The sequence below is a fragment of the Homo sapiens genome, chromosome 17 (genome assembly GCF_000001405.40).
Source record: "Homo sapiens chromosome 17, GRCh38.p14 Primary Assembly".
In the NCBI taxonomy this organism is placed as follows: Eukaryota; Metazoa; Chordata; class Mammalia; order Primates; family Hominidae; genus Homo; species Homo sapiens.
In genome coordinates, this window is record NC_000017.11 from 48,197,673 (window position 1) to 48,218,772 (window position 21,100).

The 21,100-nt window shown below is 41.1% G+C and overlaps 1 protein-coding gene and 1 pseudogene across 13 annotated transcripts in view; both read right to left on the reverse strand.

Moving 5' to 3' along the window:
* SKAP1 (src kinase associated phosphoprotein 1) overlaps positions 1-21,100 on the reverse strand; it is a 311,620-nt gene that overhangs the window by 64,231 nt on the left and 226,289 nt on the right. For 3 of the 13 annotated variants that reach the window (XM_017025258.2, XM_047436979.1, XM_047436978.1), the window contains exon 1: positions 1,652-1,770. The exons of the other annotated variants lie outside the window; for them this stretch is intronic. In XM_017025258.2, coding sequence (XP_016880747.1) covers positions 1,652-1,664 — 13 coding nt within the window. In that variant the 5' untranslated portion in view covers positions 1,665-1,770. Of the gene's footprint in view, positions 1-1,651; positions 1,771-21,100 lie in introns of those variants that run through there. 13 annotated transcript variants of the gene reach the window in all.
* Positions 13,608-14,114, reverse strand: LSM3P1 (LSM3 homolog, U6 small nuclear RNA and mRNA degradation associated pseudogene 1; annotated as a pseudogene).

The window sequence follows — 21,100 nt, forward strand, 5'->3', positions numbered from 1 at the left end:
AAAACAAAAAACAAACAAACAAAAAACAAAAACAAAACAAAAGGATTTTAAAGCCAAATATCCAAACTGGTTTCTTTTCATAAAGTATTCCCTCAGTAATGCCAAGCCACAAGGTAACTTACAGAAACCATGAGTATTCATGGAGGATGAAGAACCCTCTCATTCCTACAAAGGGGCAACACATGCTAATTGTCTAGGAGACCTGTGGTCTTGCAAGATGCTCTCTTCCACATCTTCACTTTCCGTGGGATTTTACTTATGAGAAATGAAAGTGTCAGGAAAAAGCCCTTCTAACTCCAAGCATGGTAACTTCAATGCACTAATGATAGTATCTAAATAAATGGTAATAATCAATACTTTCTGGTAGGTGTCAGGAGTTCATCTTAAAGAATGACTAACTGTAATAATCCATTGCTTCTCAATCGTGAAACATTGGTATACTTTGATCAGTTAAAGGACAGAGATTTTGAATAATTTACTTTTAGAATAAGAATGGGTTTTGGCCGGGCGCGGTGGCTCACGCCTGTAATCCTAGCACTTTGGGAGGCCGAGACGGGCGGATCACGAGGTCAGGAGATCGAGACCATCTTGGCTAACACGGTGAAACCCCGTTTCTACTAAAAATACAAAAAATTAGCCGGGCGTGTTGGCGGGCGCCTGTAGTCCCAGCTACTCGGGAGGCTGAGGCAGGAGAATGGCATGAACCCGGGAGGCGGAGCTTGCAGTGAGCCGAGATGGCGCCACTGCACTCCAACCTGGGAGACACAGCGAGACTCCGTCTCAAAAAAAAAAAAAAAAAAAAAAAAGAATGGGTTTTAAGTTTTTCTATAACAATACCACTCACTGCATTCTGATACGCTTTCTTACAGGGAGAAGTCAATCAAAAATAACTTATAGCTTATCCTATGTATGCTACAGCCTATAGTGATGAAATGAATCTGATGTACTATCATAATTGTGGCATCATGAATTCCCACAGTGCTTTATTTACTTGAAAAAAAAAATTGTGTTCCTTCAAAACCATGAGTGTTCTGTGGTGGTGGGTTAAGCATATGTGTCTTTTGATTTTATCAATAACACATATCTGTAACCCAACATCCTCAGCTTCATTTTTATCCTAAGAATCCATCCTTAATATAGAACCGCAAAAGACCTGAAGTATCTTTAGCAGCTAAGTCACAGTAAGTGGCAACAGAGCAAAGTGGGAATCCTGATACAAATTAAGGCAGAAATCCTTCAATGGTCTCATGATTCTAAAAAGGAGAAGAGGATTTTAAAATGCCACATTGTCTTTTTACAAACCTTGCAAGATCGACGTATTCCCCCTGAGTCAGATCACGATTATACATGCATCACTTGAGAGCCTATCTTTAAAAACGAATGACGAAATGTCATTTTCAGATCTGTTTATTTACTATGCCACTGGACTGTGATAAGAGCACAGAGAAAAGGAAATAAAAAGAAAAGAGCCTTGCCTGGGTTTAGAATCACTTTTTAACTGGTTCACCAAACTGTGGCCAGAAGTCATCTTTCTAAAACACAGATCATGTCACATTCCTGCTTAAATCCTGTAATGGTTTTTTATTACCTACAGGATGAAACTCAAACTCTCCAGCATACAAAGATTTTTAAGTACTTGGTGTCTTCCTACCTTCCAGTTTCATTTTCTCCCAACTTTGTCACCTCCCAGTACTCCAGCAACAATAAGGAACAGACTCTGTCCTGTGGAACATGCCATGCACTTTACACTGCCAGGTCTCTGTGTATTCTGTTTTTCCTGTTTGGAACTTCCTCTCTCTACATCCAGCTGCCGAGTTGGGAGTACTCCTTCAGTTCAAATGTCACATCCTCTTTGAATCTTTGATTCCACCATGTAAAATTATATACTCCCTCTTCTGTGCTTCTATAGCATTTTCTAGAACATTTTTATAGCACAGTCTTGGCTCCCAGGGACCCTAAATCTTTTCCTCAACGTGCTCCATTCTTGCCACTTTGCTTGGGTTTCCATAAGACCTTAGTAACAATGTAAAGCTGCTAGAATCCTTGAAAAAGCAAATAGAAAAAGGGCTATTCCTGGGAAAAGAACGGTAGTTGTGGACCTGGGTACAAGGCAATAGGGAGGAGGGTAAAAATAGATCTTGCAGTCATAGGAAAAGAGATGACACCATGGAAGAAATTAAGTGAACAGAACGTTATAGTACCTGGATTAAAATGGGGAAACGAAGTTGCATATTAGATTCTTCTTTGGTGCATATAGCCGTGCACGTAGGGGGATGGGCCAGGGTTTTCATGGCAATTGTCTAGGTAAGAAGAGTAAGAATTAGATTGAGGAGGAAGGCTGGCGCGGTGGCTTATGCCTGTAATCTCAGCACTTTGGGAGGCCGAGGTGGGCAGATCACAAGGTCAGGAGTTTGAGACCAGCCTGGCCAATATGGTGAAACTCTGTCTCTACTAAAAAAAAAAGTACAAAAATAATTAGCTGGGTGTGGTGGCGCACACCTGTAATCCCAGCTACTCGGCAGGCTGAGGCAGGAGAATTGCTTGAACCCTGGAGGTGGAGGTTGCGGTGAGCCGAGATCATGACACTGCACTCCAGCCTGGGTGACAGAAGGAGACTCTGTTTCAAAAAAAAAGAATTAAATTGAGGAGGAACTGGAACATGTGAATAGCTGAGCTCCATCACAAGATTGGGCCATTCTTTCTTTCTTTCTTTTTTTTTTTGAGTTGGAGTTTCACTCTTGTTGCCCAGGCTGGGGTACAATGGCGCAATCCCTGCTCACTGCAACCTCCGCCTCCCAGGTTCAAGCAATTCTCCTGCCTCAGCCTCCCGAGTAAGCTGGGATTACAAGTGCCCACCACCATGCCCAGCTAATTTTTGTATTTTTAGTAGAGACGGGGTTTCACCATGTTGATCAGGCTGTTCTTGAACTCCTGACCTCTGGTGATCCAGCCACCTCAGGCTCCCAAAGTGCTGAGATTACAGGCATGAGCCACCGCGCCCGGCCCTGGGCCATTCTTTAATTAGTTGTTGAACTGATGTGGAATTAAGAAGGATCTTTCCCTTAAATATACACAATACACTGTAAGGAGTGTGATACTAATTATTTAATTTCTGGAAGCCTAAAGAAAAGCTGCCAGTGGGAAATCTGGTCCCTTTCATAGAGAGCAGTGCAATTCATTATTTGTATACTTGTTTCTCTTTTTATCCCCAGGGGCCTCGTACACACAGTAGGTACCCAATAATGTTTGTTAAACTGAACTGAAACCACTTCTAGCCTAATAGGACTTGTGATCTAGGAATGCAATATGGAAGTGAATATTTGTTAGTCAAACCATTTTCGCTTAAGTCACAAACAGTCATTTTTGTTCTACTTTAATCTTAGGGTTGGTATCATATAAAACAAGAAAGTAAGAAGAGGCAAGGAAAGGAGGATTTTGCCAAGACAACAAGGAGAAAGTGGGGGTGCAGAAGTTAGCTCGTATCACAGCGCTGAGAATGAAAGAAAGAGGACCAAAAAGGATTTTGGAGAAAAAATTAGAATAAAATGCCATGAACCTCAAATGGAGAGAAATAAATTTCTCTCTCTCTCTTTTTCCTTCCTTCCTTCCTTCTTTCCTTCCTTCCTTTCTTCGTTCCTTCCTTCCTTCCTTCTCTCCTCCCTCTCTCTCTCTTCCTTGCTTCTTTCCCTCCCTCTTTCCTTCTTTCCTCTCTCTCTCTTTCTTTTTTGAGACAGGGTCTTGCTCTGACACCCAGGCTGAAGTGCAGTGGTGCAATCATGGCTCACTGCAGCCTCCATCTCCTGGGTTCAAGCAACCCTCCTGCCCTCAGCCTCCCAAGTAGCTTGGACTACTTGGTGTGCACCGCCACACTTGGCTAATTTATTTCTTATTTTTGGTAGAGACAGGGTCTCACTATGTTTCCCAGGCTGGTCTTGAACTCCTGGTCTCAAACTTCTGGTCTCAAGCAATCTTTCCATCTCAGCCTCCCAAAGTGCTGGGATTATAGGTGTGAACTACCACGCCTGGCCAAGAAATAAATTTCTGAGTCCCATGTTACAGCCTGATTGGCACACCAATTCTGTTTGCCTTGGACCTTATCTATCTCCAGAACAGGGTTCAGAAGAAACAATAAACAGGCAAAAGACTGTGCCAAATGAATAACTGATTACTCTTTAGGAAATAGCTATTGATAGCAACTTCTGAGCTATAGACTTTGAGTGGCTGAGAATTTGGTCACTGATAGTGTTTCCTCAGTCTTGTTCTTTTATTTATCTCCTGGAGAAATGGCATTTTCCTTTTGAGCTTTTACATGTACATTGGTTTGCATCCTGTGAGCAAACATCTTATGTGTGTCTGAGCATTTAATACTGTTAATGGTGAAGGCTACATGGAGATTAGTGTGACAGACTCCTGACATCTCTATTTTAGTTGCTATCCAAAGCAAAAGATTTAAGGAGGAATCAAATGATAATAATTTTGCCTTCTCTATGTCTCTCTAGTAAAAGACATTCAGATATCATCAGAGTACTGCATTGAGAAAACTTTAAAAGCAAACACAGCAGAAAAGACAAAAGAAGACTCAGGAACTAATTATCGTGATTCTCTGGGGGTATTTCAGGGTGGGTGATCTAATGAGAACTCTTACACCCCATCAGGAAGAACTTGATGGGAAAGCAGTGATCTTAGCAATGTGGCTTTGACCTGGTATGTATTATCTCCTGGTCAAAGGGCCACTCCCAAGCCAAACCTCACCCTCAGACAGCTCCATGTGTGTCTCTGTGTAGCAGTATGGGCTCAGAGACAGAAAAATGATGTTGGCTGTGATAAGTCACCTTTAAGGCAAAAATCACCCTCCCTTAAAAAAGAAGTTACAAATTCTAGATTTAAATATTTCTGGATTTTTCTGTTTCATCCGACAAAACTCAAGCAAGTTTGAAGTCAAACTTTGCAAGGAAAAAGATTTAGGAGGGGAAAATGAGGGTGATGTTTCTAAACCCAAAATTTTCCAACCAAATCACCAAGTCTGTAATTGCAAAATAAAAACACTAAATCTCAATATCTATTTGCACAGCTCATTAACTAAGGGCTCACACTCAGCAAACGGGGAAAAAAAGAAAAAGAAAAAAACTTTAGTACCAAATACATTTGGAAAGTTACTATAGAGACCTATATTTCCCTTGAATCTAAACTAGGCCCTGCCACATTCTGCTACACTGTGGTTGGATGCATCTGTTTGTCTGTCTGTCTTTATTGCTTATTTAGCAAGTAGCAAATCGGGATGAGGCAAAGCATCTTTTGTCAGACCATGCAGGAGAGAGAAAGAGAACATTTCTTTCCCCACTGAACATTATGAACATTATGGCAGGCACTGGACCTGCTCTGCTACTGGGACAACATGATTTACAATGTGAAAAGGGAAAACCTAAATCACCAAGTAATGAAAACATTAAAGTTAATGCATCACAAGTGAGGAATTTATTACCATTAACTCCAATAAACAGTTATAAAACACTCGTCCTTTCCTGTCCGTGCACAGGGACACAGACACTGGACTTCATTAAGCTCAACTTTCTTTTCTTCTTCACTAGACCAGTCATGTGTGTTTGAACCAACCACCATTTATTGTTAGGTGGACTAGCTCATTTTCCAGGACTGTAGAAAGCTGAAGGCACATCCATTCTGCTTCACGGCACTTGGTATAGACGGATGAAATAGCAAAGTTTAGAAGACATGCAGCTCGGTATTGCTGTATAAGTTTATTTAAAAGTCTCTAAAATGTATTTCTGACAAAAGCAGAATAGCTCTTCCGAGCAGCCTTTCTCACAGGCAGGTATATAAGTAATAATGCCTGGTGGGGAGGATGGCATATTGGATGCCAATGCACGTCAGGTGTGTTTAACTGAATAATTTTTCCCTTGTTATTGTTTGGTATAGCACCTTGGAAGCCTGAGATGGAAACCCATTTCCTTCTAACATTTTTCTCTGTCACAGGGGCAGAGAAGTTTATTACCTTAAGGTTGTTCCTGAACAAAAGAGGCTGCACATATTGGATGGCTAAGGTAGATTGGTTCCAGATTCATTTGTTTTCAAGGAAAAAAAGAACTAAAGTGTCTTTTTGAAAAGCCACTTCTAATTGTGGAATTGCCTGGGTGTTACAAAGCACATAGGAGAGGCAGCATGAAATTCAGGCTTTCCTGACCAAATAATTACAACAGTAACATGATAATAGTAATACTTTACATTTGGATAACACTTTATTTAGTGTTTATAAAATGCTTTCGTGTATGACACCTCCTTAATTCTGATCTCCTTCATTCAGACAGAAAGATCTCACCAGTCTGGCCTTCTGAAGCTGAAACAGGCTCACACAGTTGGGAAGAAGAAGAACCAAGATATAAACTCAGATTTTTTTCTTTTTTTTTTTTTTTGAGACAGAGTTTCACTCTTGTTGCCCAGGCTGGAGTGCAATGGTGTGATCTCGGCTGGAGTGCAATGGCGTGATCTGAGCATCTCCCGCGCTCAAACGATTCTCCTGCCTCAGCCTCCTGAGTAGCTGTGTTATAGGCATGTGCCACCACACCTGGCTAATTTTTTTTTTTTTTGTATTTTTAGTAGAGACGGGGTTTCACCATGCTGGCCAGGCTGGTCTCGAACTCCTGACCTTAGGTGATTCCCCCGCCTCTGCCTCTCAAAGTGCTGGGATTACAGGCGTGAGCCACCGTGCCCAGCCAAAACTCAGGTATTTTTAAGCTCCAAATCCAGTTTTTTTTCCTTTTGTTTTGGCTACACCATGCTACACATTTTATCTAATGTATGTTATGGTCCTAACTATAAAGTCAAGATGAATAATGCTTTAATTCTATATTTCTCAGCCCAAATTTCATGATTTTTAGGAACCCCATTCTGCTAAGAATGGCTACAGTAATATACTACTAAATGGAGCCATTATGCCTGGGAGTTGTCCAGGATATTCAGCCTTAAAATGGGATCTGATCTTTGGCATTACCAGAGAAGAGACAGGTACCTGGGCTGTATGAGGTTCACAGGGATGTTTAGCCCCAGACATTGAGTGGGACTGCTGGACTTCTATGGGTCAAACTGTGTAGAGCACATGAAAGGAGGAACAAGAATAGCTCTGATGCAGAATCTGAGCAGCACATCCCACATTACCAAAGCTAAGAGTTCCATAAGACCAACTACTAAAATGTTGCATGATTTAAGATGGTAGAAATACTTGTCAAGGAAATCCTTCCTTCCTTCCTTCCTTCCTCCCTCCCTCCTTCCTCTTTCTTTTCTTTTCTTTTCTTTCTTTCTTTCTTTCTTTCTTTCTTTCTTTCTTTCTTTTTCTTTCTTTCTTTCTTTCTTTCTCTCTCTCTCTTTCTTTCTTCTTTCTCTCTCTCTCTTTCTTTCTTTCCTTCTCTCTCTCTCTCTCTCTCTCTGTCTCTTTCTTTTTTTGAGATGGGGTCTCACTCTGTTGCCCAGGCTGGAGTGCAGTGGCTTGATCTTGGTTCACTGCAGTCTCCACCTCCCAGGCTTAAGCAATCCTCCCACCTCAGCCTCCTGAGTAGCTGAAACTACAGGCACATGTCACCACGCTCAGCTAATTTTTGGATTTTTTGGTCGAGACAGGGTTTAGCTATGTTGCCCAGGCTGGTCTAGAACTCCTGGGCTCAAGCAATTCACGTGCCTCGGCCTCCCAAAGTGCTGGGATTACAGGCGTGAGCTACCACACCTGGCCAAGGAAATCTTAAATAGAACAAAAAGATCAAGAAAAGGAAACCAGAAAAGATAAAAAGTATTAGAACACAGAAACAGAGGGAAGGACATTATCAAAGAAATAATAACATTTCTCAAAATGATAGGAATCTTTTGATTGACATGGTCCTCCATACACCCAGCACATGAATGAAAAGGGACTCACATATTGGTAATCACAGTGATATTTCAGAACAGAATTCTTAAAAAGAAGATCCTAAAACCTTCTGAATCAGGGGGGAGAAACAAGTCATACAAAGCATTAAGAATCAGAATGGCACTGAAATTCTCCACAGCAACAATGAAAGCTGGAAGCCAATGAAGCAAAGCTTTCCAAGTTCTAAGGGAAAATGATTTCCATTAGCATTCTCACACCCAAACTAACAGTTAAGTGTAAAAGTAGAATACAGAGGTTTTCAGACATTCAAAGTCTCAAGAAATTGACCTCCCAGGCATCCTTTCTCAGGATGCCACCACAATATGTGCTCCATCAAAATGAGGGAGTCCACCAAGAAAAAAGGTGACATTGGGTCCAGAACGTGGTGCTCTGATGAAGGAAAGGGATGAAAGGGAAGTCCCAGGATGACAGCTGTGCAGGAGGCCTGAGAGCAGCCAGCCCAGAGTGGGGAGGAGGATGGAGATCTCCAGGAGAGACTAGAAGCACAAATGGAACTGATGGATCATCTGGTGTGTTTGATAATGTGGAAAATTACAATTCTGCAAAGTTTGGAAAGAATTAGGGATGGTGACTTAGAAAACTATGCAAATGAAGAAAGTCAAGGCATTTGCCAACTCTAGGAAAAACAAGAATTTTTTTTACATTTCCTGGTTTATTATAAAGGATATAACAAAGGATATAGGTAAAGAGATGCATAGGGTGAGGTATGGGGGAAGGGGTGTGGAGCTTCCATGTCCTCCCTGGCTATGCTACCCTCCAGGAACCTCCACGTGGTCAGTTATCTGGAAGCTCTATGAACCCAGTCCTCTTGGGTAAAAAATAAAGACGTTTTTTTTTATACCCCTTGGTATAAAAAATAAAGAAATAAAATTTAATTATACAATTTTATAAGGGTTGACGTAAATAATATTTACATAGTTAATGTAAACACTAAATATTGATTAACTAAAAATTATGATATAACCACACTCGAAACATGAAGAATGGGGAATTGATGGCTGGGATGGAATAGGAATGCTGACTCCTCCCCTATCATAATATAAAATCAATAGGTAATGTCTGAAATTGATAAACTAAAAAAATAGCTGTCTAATCATATTATTTAGAAGTGTGGAAGAGACACATCAGAATGGATGAAAAAGTTAATTTTTAAAAAATGGAAAGGGGTTGCCTCTGGAAAGCAGAACTCCAGGGTGACTGCTTGTAGTATTATTTGATTAAAAAAAATTTTTTTGGAAATGGGGTCTTGCTATGTGGCCAAGGCTGAATTCAAACTCCTGGGCTCAAGTAATCTTCCCACTTTAGCCTCCCAAGGGACTACAGGTACACACCATTGTGCCTGGCTTTATTTGATTTTTAAGAACTATATGCATACATTATTTTGATAAAAATAAAAATAGAAAATTTTAAAAATAGTTTTTCAACCATTTCACAGTACAGCCATGTCTCCATATTTATATAATGATGTCCATTCTGAGTGGCTGATTACACAAAATTCCTAAGCTTGGTATGAAGGTACGTGGCAAAGGAATCCAGAAAAGAAAGAAGAAACCAGTGTAGAATGAAGAGAAACAATGCTATTAAAACCACTTGCACAGGTTGGGCATGGTGACTCACGCCTGTAATCCCAGCGCTTTGGAGGCCGAGGCAGGCAGATCACTTGAGGCCAGGAGTTCAAGACCAGGAGTTCTGGCCAACATGCAGAAACCATCTCTACTAAAAATACAAAAATTAGCTGGATGTGGTGATGCATGCTTGTAATCCCAGCTACTCAGGAGGCTGAGGCACAAGAATTGCTTGAGCCTGGGAGGCAGATGTTGCAGTGAGCTGAGATTGCGCCACTACACTCCAGTCTGGGCAACAGAGGAAGACTCTGTCTCAAAAAAAAAAAAAAAAAGAAAAAAAATTTACATAAAGTTATATTTGAATTAGATATTGTCTTAAGAATACTTTAATAATCTGTAGTCTGTATGTAATTTTAAGACTCATTTACAATTCTAATATTGTACTTTATACCATACGTCTAATTTGCCTTAGCTCTTCCTACATTGCAAGGGGACCCACAAAAGCAGGAGGTCTCTTTCCACTGGAGAGCTGTTTTATTTCATAAGGAATAAAAGGTATGGAATCCCATTATGAAATTTGGGGTCAGAAGCCCAGGGTATAAACTTGGGTTGCAATTTACAAAGTATTATTGTATTACTGGGCATGACCAGAATTTGATCAAGTACCTGTAGATCAAATCAAATCAAGAAAAATTTATCTGGAACCTTCCACGTGGGAGGTTTTGTGCCAGAGAGCACAGAATTCCTAGAATGTCCTAGAATGACTTCAGATCAGTGCAAAGACAGAGACAGCACAGACATGATTTTAATTTATAGGGTTGGAAAAGTACAAGGCTATAAAACAGGACACCTGTTGTCTTGCATTTATGTTAAAGGTTTCACCTTTTTAAAAAATAATCAGAAACACATAATCATTAGTCTTGACATAAATTATACTTTAGATTGGGAGTGGAAATCGTGTTTTCAGAATAGGAAGGAAGGAAAAGTAAAACCAACTGCATGTAATTTTTCAAGTGGAAACAACGGCAATATGAAGATATATGGGCGTTAGACCCACTGGTAGAGGAAGGAGGCTGTGCTCTCTTACCTCTTACCATGTCACTCCTGTGACCTCTACCATTTGAAATGCTTTGATTCCACCTTGCCCAAGGGACCTGTGAGCACCGGGGAAAGGGATGAAGGATGCCTATGCCTGACCTCACCTTTACATTGTCTAACGACTGAAGGTATAAATCAGCTTTCCCCTTGAAGACCCAAGTGTCAGTAGCTCATGTGAAATGCTGGAAATATTAAATGATGTCCCCGAGGGTTTTACTGTTACTCAGTTTTCTCCTGTAACTGGGAGAGCTGTTCACATGAAGGATACTCTCCCCCAGGACCTCAATTTGTATATAAAATGAAGTATGAAACTCCAACAACTTCTTGCCAGTTTGGAAAGAAAATAAACAATTAGGGGAGGCTGCACTTAGCCCATTGTCCTGTTTATATTTCATTTATCTCTTTGACTATTCCTAGTGAACAGTTTACACCAACAAAGGTGTGATAACACTCTTATTACAAATCCTTATTTCCAGGGCAACAAATCTTTGACAGTTACAAAATCACCATAGACAATTCAATGTGTTTTTGTAATGGACAAGAACAAAAGCTCTTCCTTTAATCCTATTTAGCAGAGGGAGTGTGCTAATAATTAGAAGTGAGAGGCAAGTGTCTGGATGCCAGGGTTCCATGTCTAGCTAGGACTTGGGCCTGTATCTAAATCTCCCTTCCAGATTCTTTCTGCAGAATTTACAAAATCTATGGATGCTTACTTCTCCTAATATACCTTGATTCATTAATCCTCACCACTACCTCTATAATATGAGTAATTTTCTATAATAAGAAAAATGACCATTTTTCTCTTGATGGAGAAATTAAAGTGACTTGCTCAAGCCTCCTAGTTAGTAAGTGGACAAGGCAGGAACAGAAGGAATTATCATGGCAATCCTTAGCATTAGTCTGTCTACATCTCAGTCTTTCCTCCTCCTCTTTCCATCAAAAACTTAAGTACTGCTACACAAAGAATACAGTCCTTATTATAGAAACATTATTATACATTTATGTGGGGCTTTAAAATTTTTTAGAGCACTGTCAAACCTCCTATTTAACTTGGTTTTTATAATAGTCCTATTAGGTTTGTATTTACAGAGTCTGGAAGGATAGGATAAAAGTAATAAGAAACAAAATAGTTGAGAAGAAAAGCCAGTGAAATATTAAGGATTACCTAAGACATTGTAGAATCTTAATTACCCCAGGTTTGTAAAAGCTGGCCAGATACATGAAAATATTGATTAGACTGACTGTGCCTGTGCTGTAACAGGGGAATGATCACTAAATGACTCTTTGCTCTGTGTTCTAAGGTTGGATTCCATGTATGAAAGGATATTCAGAAGAGTGTAATGTGCTCTCTTAACATGAGCTCTCTTGCCATTTAACTATGGCTGAATTAGGGGCAAACAGCACTGCTTCTCTAGAGGTAAGAGAAAGTGTGAGGGCTGAAGGTGATTTCAAACAGCAGGTGAAGGAAGATGAAGAAATAGATACTTTTCCCCTCAGAAGTCTAAAACATCTTCTGAATCAGGCCCGGTTGTTTTGTTGTTGTTGTTTTATAAGTAGAATTGGTGCTGCTTAAATGGTGTGTGTTTAAGTTAACTGGAAAAGGGCCCCTCTTCCAAAATATCTTTTCAACTGACTTCTGTAATTCCTGAAATTCCATCATTTGGGGCCCATTCCCTTAGATTAAAGCATTATTCCCTGTTGAACTACAAATGCCTCTGGGAGAGGTAGCACATTAATCGAGATATTCTCATCCACAGTGTGGTAACAAGCTAGTACATCAGAAATCACTGGGAGGAGGAGGCACAGAGCTCCAGCTCTCCTAGGGATAAGGCACAGCTGTCTGTACCTATGCGGTAGACCACTGAGTAGAGGTAGATAACTGACAGATGTCAGGTAGCGACGCTTATCCATGAGGTCACGTGTGTGTGGCTGGCACTGTTATACGGAGCCATTATCAGTCATCGACACCTTGGAGCCGTGGTTCGTAACTCTGGCTGCACATCGGAATCACCTGTCTACTTTTTAAAAAAGTGTAGATACCTGAACTGCACCCCAGATATACTGATTCAGGATTATCTGGAGTGGGGCTGAGGCATGTTTATTTTTACAAAGTTCTATGAGTAGTTCTGATGCTCACCTAGGGCTAAGAACCACAGCCTCAGAGTAGATTTGTATGTTAGGTCCTTATCATCCTGATGGCTTGCTGGAGGGCCTTGGTGAGGTGGGCCCAGGGAGGCCCCCAGGTGGAGGGCCTGGACAGTGAGTATCAGAACAAGCACGAGGGGCAAGAGAAGTGCTATAGGCACCAAAGTAACCAAAGGTGACCTGGAAAAGAGCCAAGACAACTTGTACTCACAGCAATTTTAACAAACTACCCAGGATCATTATTACCAAGACTAGAATAAACTACATTAATCAACCAATAAAAGTTAGGACTTCTGCATAACACCATTTAAGAAATACTAAAGAAATTATTATCTGTGCTAATATAACTCTGGCTTTAATCGTTTCCATGGCTGAGGAGGCCACTTGTAGTCATTTCATCACTGTGGTATCTTTCCCATTCTATTCCTCATAGTCTCCTCCCGAGTGTTACCCTGCTCGGTTTGTCCTCGGCTACCCTCCAAAGGAAGTCCTTACCAGATGTATCATTAGGATTAGTTTAGCCAGTGTGACGGAAAGCCCCAAATAATAGAGGCCTTAACAAAATAGAAGGTAATTTGTCCCTCATGTATAAAAAGACTGGGGGGAGGCACCCCAGGAATGGGAGGGCACTTCATGCTCCTCTTTTTTTTCCTGAAAAAGAGTTTTGCATCTTGGTGATCACATTTATTAGAAGGGTTGGAGAAAAATAAAAATGCCATTTAGCTTAAGAAGTTATGAATTATCTGGGCTGGGTGCAGTGGCTCATGCTTGTAATCCCAGCACTTTGGAGGGCCAAGGTGGGAGGATGGCTTAAGCCCAGGAGTTTGAGACCAGGCTGGGCAGCACAGTGAGACCCCACCTCTATTAAAAAAAATTTTTTTTTAATAGAAGTTATGAGTTGTCTGCAAATCAATTCATTTCAGGAGTGGGAGAATTTCTTAATATCAAAATGTTTGCTGGTTTCTCTTTTGAATGTCCTGAACATTTAAAGAGGTACCTGTACAAAATCTCCTATTTTCCATATGGGATAAATTGTTTCAGCCAACTCTCAACGGAGGGACAACCAGGACAAAACATCTTCTGGGAAAAACAGCATTCGAATATTCTGTTTCGCTGATTTATATATCTCTTATATATGATGGCTTCTTCCTCAATTTCTGTAGTAGTCACAGTTTCTTCCACATCTCCCAATAACATATTTAAATGTAGATCATAAGCATGTAATCTGCCTAGAAGCTCCTGGTAATCTCTCATTTATCCATAAATTCATTTATCCAGGCTGAGCCTGATGAAATCAAGGGGCTCCTCTATGGTGTTGGTAGTTTGTTGCTGGTTTATGTCGTCCACCATGTTTCAAACCCTTCGCCCTTTCCTCTTCAGGCTCTTTCTATCTTTATAAAGTATGTCATTTGTTCGTCATGGTCCAAACTGGCTCCAGTTCCAGCCAGCAGGAAGGAGGAAAGGGGCAACACAGACAGCACCACCATCCCTCTACCTGCTTAAGGACACTTGTGTGTGGCCCTAAAAAGTTGACACATTACTTACACATTCCACTAACCAGAAGTTAAATCACGTGGTCAAATCTAGTTGCCGTGGAGGCAGGGAGTTGTTCTGGGCAGCCACGAACCCAGAACTGGGGGCTAGCTAGCAGTCTCAGCTACACCAGTAATACTGCACACAGCTAAATAAGTATTGGCAGTCACCTTATGAACCTAGAATATCCCACTGGAAAGAAAGAAAATGAGTATGGTAAGAGAAGACTGCTTAATTCCAGGTGTTGGGTAATTCGTGGCGATTAGAGGAAAGTGTTTTCCACTAATGAAGAGTGAGAATTTGTTCAAAGTAGTTATCTGTGGTCCAAGAATCATAACAGAGGCCTCAAATAAATGAAGTGTTGGTTTATCTTTTGAAAGGTTATGTTTCCTCTTGGAATTATGTGATTCAAAAGTCCACCTCTTGCCTAAGGAAGGACTGGAATACAGGCCTTCTTGTCCAAGTTCCTGAAGTTAACTTCTATAACACTGTCAGGAGCAGAACAACATATAAGACCACTGGAGTGTGCGCTAGCTGTTAGTGCTCACAAAAAGTAGGAGAAATGTTAGTACTAATTTCACACCCAAATTTGCTTAGATGTGCTTAAAAAGATTCTGATCAATGAAAAGGTATACTTTTCCCTAACTCTAGGGCTCCAAGTGCTTGAGGGTTACAGATAATGCTGTTCTAGATGCATGTGGTATAAAATACAAATAATCTGTTTAAGTCTATGGCAATGTTTGGATTGCTTCACTGACTAGGATGATTTTAAAAGTAAAGCACTGTATCTTTTCCAATCTGATCTCCCTAAATCATGCAATAGACTTGTTTCCTTTCTTTGTGTTTCTCATTTGTCCAGCTCATTGAATCGTATGGCTATTTACCTCAGTTAGATAGAGAAACATGGTGCTAAGGAGACGAAGGTGACCTGGTGCTAAGGAGACAAGGCTTTATCCCAAGTGGGTTGATTGGCGTGCAGAATTCAGTTCTGTTCCATGTCTAGTTGACTGCTTCTCTACCCCTGGCTAGTTATTCTGAGGGGATGCATGCTTCTTAAAATGGGGGGCTGAGTAGGAAAGAGTGGGTGCCTCAGCAGAATTAAGCTGTACTGTTGGCCGGGCTCAGTGGCTCATGCCTGTAATCCCAGCACTTTGGGAGGCTGAGGCGTGTGGATCACCTGAGGTCAGGAGCTCGAGACCAGCCTGACAAACATGGAGAAACCCCATCTCTACTAAATATACAAAAATTAGCCGGGTGTGGTGGCAGGTGCCTTTAATTTCAGCTACTTGGGAGGCTGAGGTAGGAGAATCGCTTGAACCCGTGCTTGAACACCACGGAGGTTGCAGTGAGCCGAGATCACACCATTGCACTCCAGCCTGGGCAACAAGAGCAAAACTCTGTCTCAAAAAAAAAAAAAAAAAAAGCTGTACTGTTGTAAACGCCCTGCAAAGGCCCTTATACAGAGTTGATGGGCCAGAAGTACCTCTATGCAAAGAGGAACATAAGTAGTTTGGATATGAAATGGTCTCTCCAACAATAAGCCATTCTACTTTCAGGAGACTATGACCTAGCAGCTTGGAGATTGAACTGTGGCATCAGGAATGGAAAAGAAAGCTAGTGTGGCAAGAACAACTGTCATATTCACAGGACAAGGTTTAGGGCTCTCCGTCTTCTGCTTCTTGCTGATCTGGGTCACCACATTCTGCCTCCTATTTCCAACCTACCTTGGTGTTTCCCACCCCCAGCTGAGTTGTCACTATGTGTTGAGGAAAATCATCTCCATAACAGGAATGATATTTGCCACTGTTTTCACTTATTCTAGATAGAAATGTTATTTCTCACCACAGAGGAAGACTTTTTTCCCTCTTATCAAAATCTGTCAGTCTATCCACACAACCTGGAGAACAAATGTGTTTTTTATCCCTCTGTGAACAAACACGGCTCAGCACCTGCACAGCACTCAAGGGTGGCCAGACCTCATCCTGACTCTGAGCCAACTGCTGCTCTTGGAGAGAGAAAGTAAAAATGATTGATTCTACATCTTAATTAAGATAAACAAAGAGGGACATCAAATAATGGCCCTGACAGTTTGAAACAAACTAAAAGTACAGCTTAGCATTTCATAAAATAAAAAGCGTTTGATGTGAGGATGGCAGTTTAATAATTTGTAAATATCACTGGCTTAGTATTATAGCTAATCCAAATATTTTCATTTCTCATCATAAGTCACCCTCTGTTGATGGCTTGTCCTCTTCAACTTACAGCTTTCACCCTCGAGCCTTCAACAGAGGCAGAGAGGAGAGGAACAGAAAGGATCACAGGTTCTCTCTGGAATGTGAATTACAGCCTCAGCTTCCTTTATACTTTCTGATTCTGAATATTCACTAGAAAATACCACTGACCAGCCCAAAGGATGTATTGCCTTCTTCTTCATCTCCTCTAAAACATATCAAACTTTAATTACAGCTTCCTATTAGCTTCTGATTGTTTCTTCTTCTTTAATTTTTTGTAGAGATGGGATTTTGCCATGTTGCCCAGGCTGGTCTCAAACTCTTGGGTTCAAGCAATCTACCCACCTTGGCCTCCCAAGTGCTGGAATTACAGGCATAGGCCATTGCACTGGGCCTGATTGTTTCTTAATTAAGAGAAGCTGAACTTTCTCCAGTTCCTTTTTTTTTTTTTCTCTTTTTCTAAAATTAGAGGCTGGGCTCACACCTGTAATCCCAGCATTTTGGGAGGCTGAGGCAGGCAGATCACTGGAGGTCAGGAGTTCGAGACCAGCCTGGCCAACATGGTGAAACCCTGACTCTACTAAAAATACAAAAATTAGCCAGGCATAGTGGTGCGTGCCTGTAGTCCCAGCTACTTGGGAGGCTGAGGCAGGAGAATTGCTTAAACCTGGGAGGCGGAGGTTGCAGTGAGCTGAGATTGCGCCGCTGCACTCCAGCCTGGGTGACAGAGTGAGACTCTGTCTCAAAATAAAGTAAAATAAAATAAAATAAAATAAAATAAAATAAAATAAACAGATGGCATTCCACTATGTTGGTCAGGCTGGTCTCGAACTCCTGGGTTCAAGCAATCCTCCTGCCTCAGCCTCTCCAAGTGCTGGGATTACAGGTGTGAGTCACTGCACCTGGCCTCTGGTTTTTAAATTATAGAGAAATAAAAAAATTGAACCACCATACTAACTGTAATGTTCCTACAGTACTGTTTTTATATCATAATGAAATAGTCAGCTATAGATCTATATCTAAAATGTGTTTTATTGCCCTAATGCCCTCTGAAGAAGGGTAGCTGAAGGGTAGGGGTATTCTTGTTAATGCCTATGTCTACACTTCCTTGGGTGGGTATGGAGGAAGACAAGCAGAAAGCTGTGATAATAATTATAAAAAGATAAAAGTGGAAACCTCTATGTTGGCCATAGCCTTGTGATTTGGCTTTTGTGAAAAATATTCAGGGAAATAGTAGGGAATTTTAACAATTGATTTGGAATTCCCCAGGGTGCAAGCCACAACATATATCTGCGAAAGCAGAACCGAAGGAACACCATTGGGCAGACGGAGGCTTTGGGCTTTTTAAAAAGGTATGTAAAAAGGGAAGGGTGAGGATGCAGACGTGTCAGATCAGCCTGTTGTGAGATATGACTCTGGACTCAGGAGAAGACCATTTTCTCATGGCCTCCCCATTCTTTTTGCTAAGGTTCTTAACAGAAATTTTTTTTTTTCCTGCTGTTGGATGATACCAAGTCCAGGCTCGAGACCACACTGGATGGACATGACAGGCAGGGGCCCACAGAGGGAAGCTGCAGTTCAGATAATTCTCCACAGGGAAGCAGTATGAGATCAGGGTTTAGATAGAGGCAGCCCCAGCATCACCAGCTCTCCCTGGTTCTAATTGGAGACAGTTTTCCTCCTTTCCTTTCACTGTGTAAGATAAGCACCAACAGGGCAAGCTCACCTTTCAGGAGAGCCCCTGAGCCTAACTGCAATCCTCCATGTAGCCCTTTACTCCCAGGCCTGTTCCTCCTCACTTAAACAGCTGGCTTTCAGCATATTGCTTTGTTTATTCCATCTCTGACCTATGCATTATCTGAAGGATGCCATAAGGGTTCAACATGCCCACCTTTGTGAAATTACCTCATTCTGAGCTGCTGGGTTCATACCACTGACACAGAGGGGAAACCTGCAGAGGGAAGCTTAGCAACATGTCACACACATGTTGTTCTTGGCAGTATGAATTCCGGTGACTTTTGACATTTCTTAAACAGGAGTCAGTTATATCTTTCCTACTCTGAGGAAAATGGTGCCAGCTACAACTTGATCTTGTTTGAGTTATAGAAGCAATACAACTTTATAGACAAGACTCTGAATAGAGAGCTTACAACTGAGATTCTATCTTGACAACATCCCATTGATAGAGTGTGTGATAACTGCAAAGCCACTATTTATCTTACTTGCTTATGAAATTGAAATAACATATTGCTGATAAGTCTTAAGAACTAAGTACCCTATGTCCACTTTGCACAAGCACCCAATACTGTGAATATACTTTTTTTTTTTTTTTGAGACAGGGTCTCACTCTGTTGCTCAGGCTGGAGTACAGTGGTACAATCTCAGCTCACTGAAACCTCCACCTCCTGGGATCAAGGGATCCTCTCACCTCAGCCTCCAGAGTAGCTGCGACTACAGGTGCACACCATCATGCCAGGCTAATTTTTGTATTTTTTGTAGAGACAGGGTTTCGCCATGTTATCTAGGCTAGTCTCGAACTCCTGAGCTCAAGCGATTCAACCACCTCGGCCTCCCAAAGTGCTGGGATTACAGGTGTGAGCCACTGCACCTGGCCTGAATATTCATAAGAGATAAAATTTTGCCCTCTCTTTTGTCAGACATTCTCTAGAATGCATGTTCTTTCATGGACAGATTGGCAAATATTATAAGTATCAGATTCAAAACTTTCTAAGAAATTTAAATGTTGAATTCTTCTAATACAAGAAGCAAAAATTCCATTTTCAGCGTTTCATGTGTTGAGAGTGAAAAGGGGGAATATAAGAAAGAAGTGAAGTCCAGATTTCCTAAAGTACATCTCAGGTAAGCCTCTCTCTTATCACATATTTTATTTTTTTACCTGAAATATTTCAGAACTTAAATGTTTTTGTCAAATTTGAAAAAGGTGTGTGGTATTGACTTCTTCATACTGATCTCATTTTTATTTTCTTTATAGTCTGTCCAAATCATTTTCAGGCCCCTTAAATCAGTTACCTTTCTTCTAGGGACAATCAATAGAAAGCAAGCAAAAAGAAAAAAGAGTGAGACCTGCCCTCTCAGTGGTCTCCTGGGTAACTTTATCTCCCAGACAGGATGATGCAAAGATGAACAGAAGAGGGGTTTCTGAATAGATTTCCAGTAGGATTGCTGTCAAGATGGGATCAGCTGCAATGGTGCCAGATAAAAACTGCAGGAGACCGAGATGGGTGGATTGCTTGAGCTCAGGTGTTTGAGACCAGCCTGGGCAACAGGGCAAAACCCCATTTCTACAAAATACACAAAAATTAGCCTGGCCTGGTGGTGTGCACCTGTAGTCCCAGCTGCTCGGGAGGCTGAGGTGAGAGGATAGCTTGAGCCAAGAGGTCGAGACTGCAGTGGGCTGAGATTGTGCCACTGCACTCCAGCTTGGGTGACAGAGGAAGATATTGTCTCTAAATAAATAAATAAGAAAAGGTTAGGTAAAGGTAAAAATTATATGGAGTCCACTGCAATATCTCTTATCCAAAAGAAATTTGTTAAAAAAAAATTTTAACAGCTCAAACTACCTTTGAGGCTAATAAAGGCACCAAAATGGATTATCAGACCATGATTTGAGGTTTGAAAAAGGATGCCAGTGCTGACTGACTGGGAAGCTATTGGAAATAAATTAAAAGGCTACATTATGTGAAACAGAGGGTCACAGCATAGGAACATCTTGAAAAGCCATAGGTGCACCAATTACATTTATCAAGATGTTAGTGAAAGCTTTGTGTATGGCTTGTTTTTGCAGGTCATTTGTATGAGATATTGTTGGATAAACTGATTTCATAGAGAAGGAGGAAGGTACTAAGTATCACATTGTGTTAATGTGCCAGCTTGCCACCTTTGGGATCAGATTTGGTGCAGGGCACAAATGAAATGAGTTTGGTGGCTTCAAGCTAGGCTACCACTGATATTTATCCTTAAACAAAATCACAAATCATTTGCTAACAGCTAGGATCAGAGACCTGGGGCTGAGACAGTAAGAATGTTGCAGGTCAGGAGGAAGACTAGCTGGCAGAGTTGGGTTAGGGAAGCAGCCATTTCCTCTAGGTCTCCAGCTTGGCTTCAGCTTATGTTACCAACCAACCCTTCTCATCCATAAACACTGACATTCACACTGATTTTACAACCTCTCTTTGCCTGGCAAACCCAACATCAATATTCCCAACAGCATTTCATGAAACCTCTAGTTATCAAAGTCCTCATCACTTAATCAATTCTAAGAATAATAATTTCATAAACACTATGGAAAAGGAGTCCTATTATTAGACTGTAACTGTCCTTAGCAAAATAATGGAACTTGGTTGTTCTAGTGAATTCTAAATTTAAACACTGCTTGCTCTGTCTCCACTCAACGAAGAGCTTGTGTGCTACTCTGATGAAAATGCAAAGAATTAGAAAACAATGACTGTGTGAATGACATTTACAGAGATCTCATACTGGAAAGGGCACATTTTATTGTGACTTTGTGTCAAAAGTGTAGTTTCATCAGAGCACAGGAGGCAAAAGAAACAGGCAATCAATACTTGGGCCTCTAA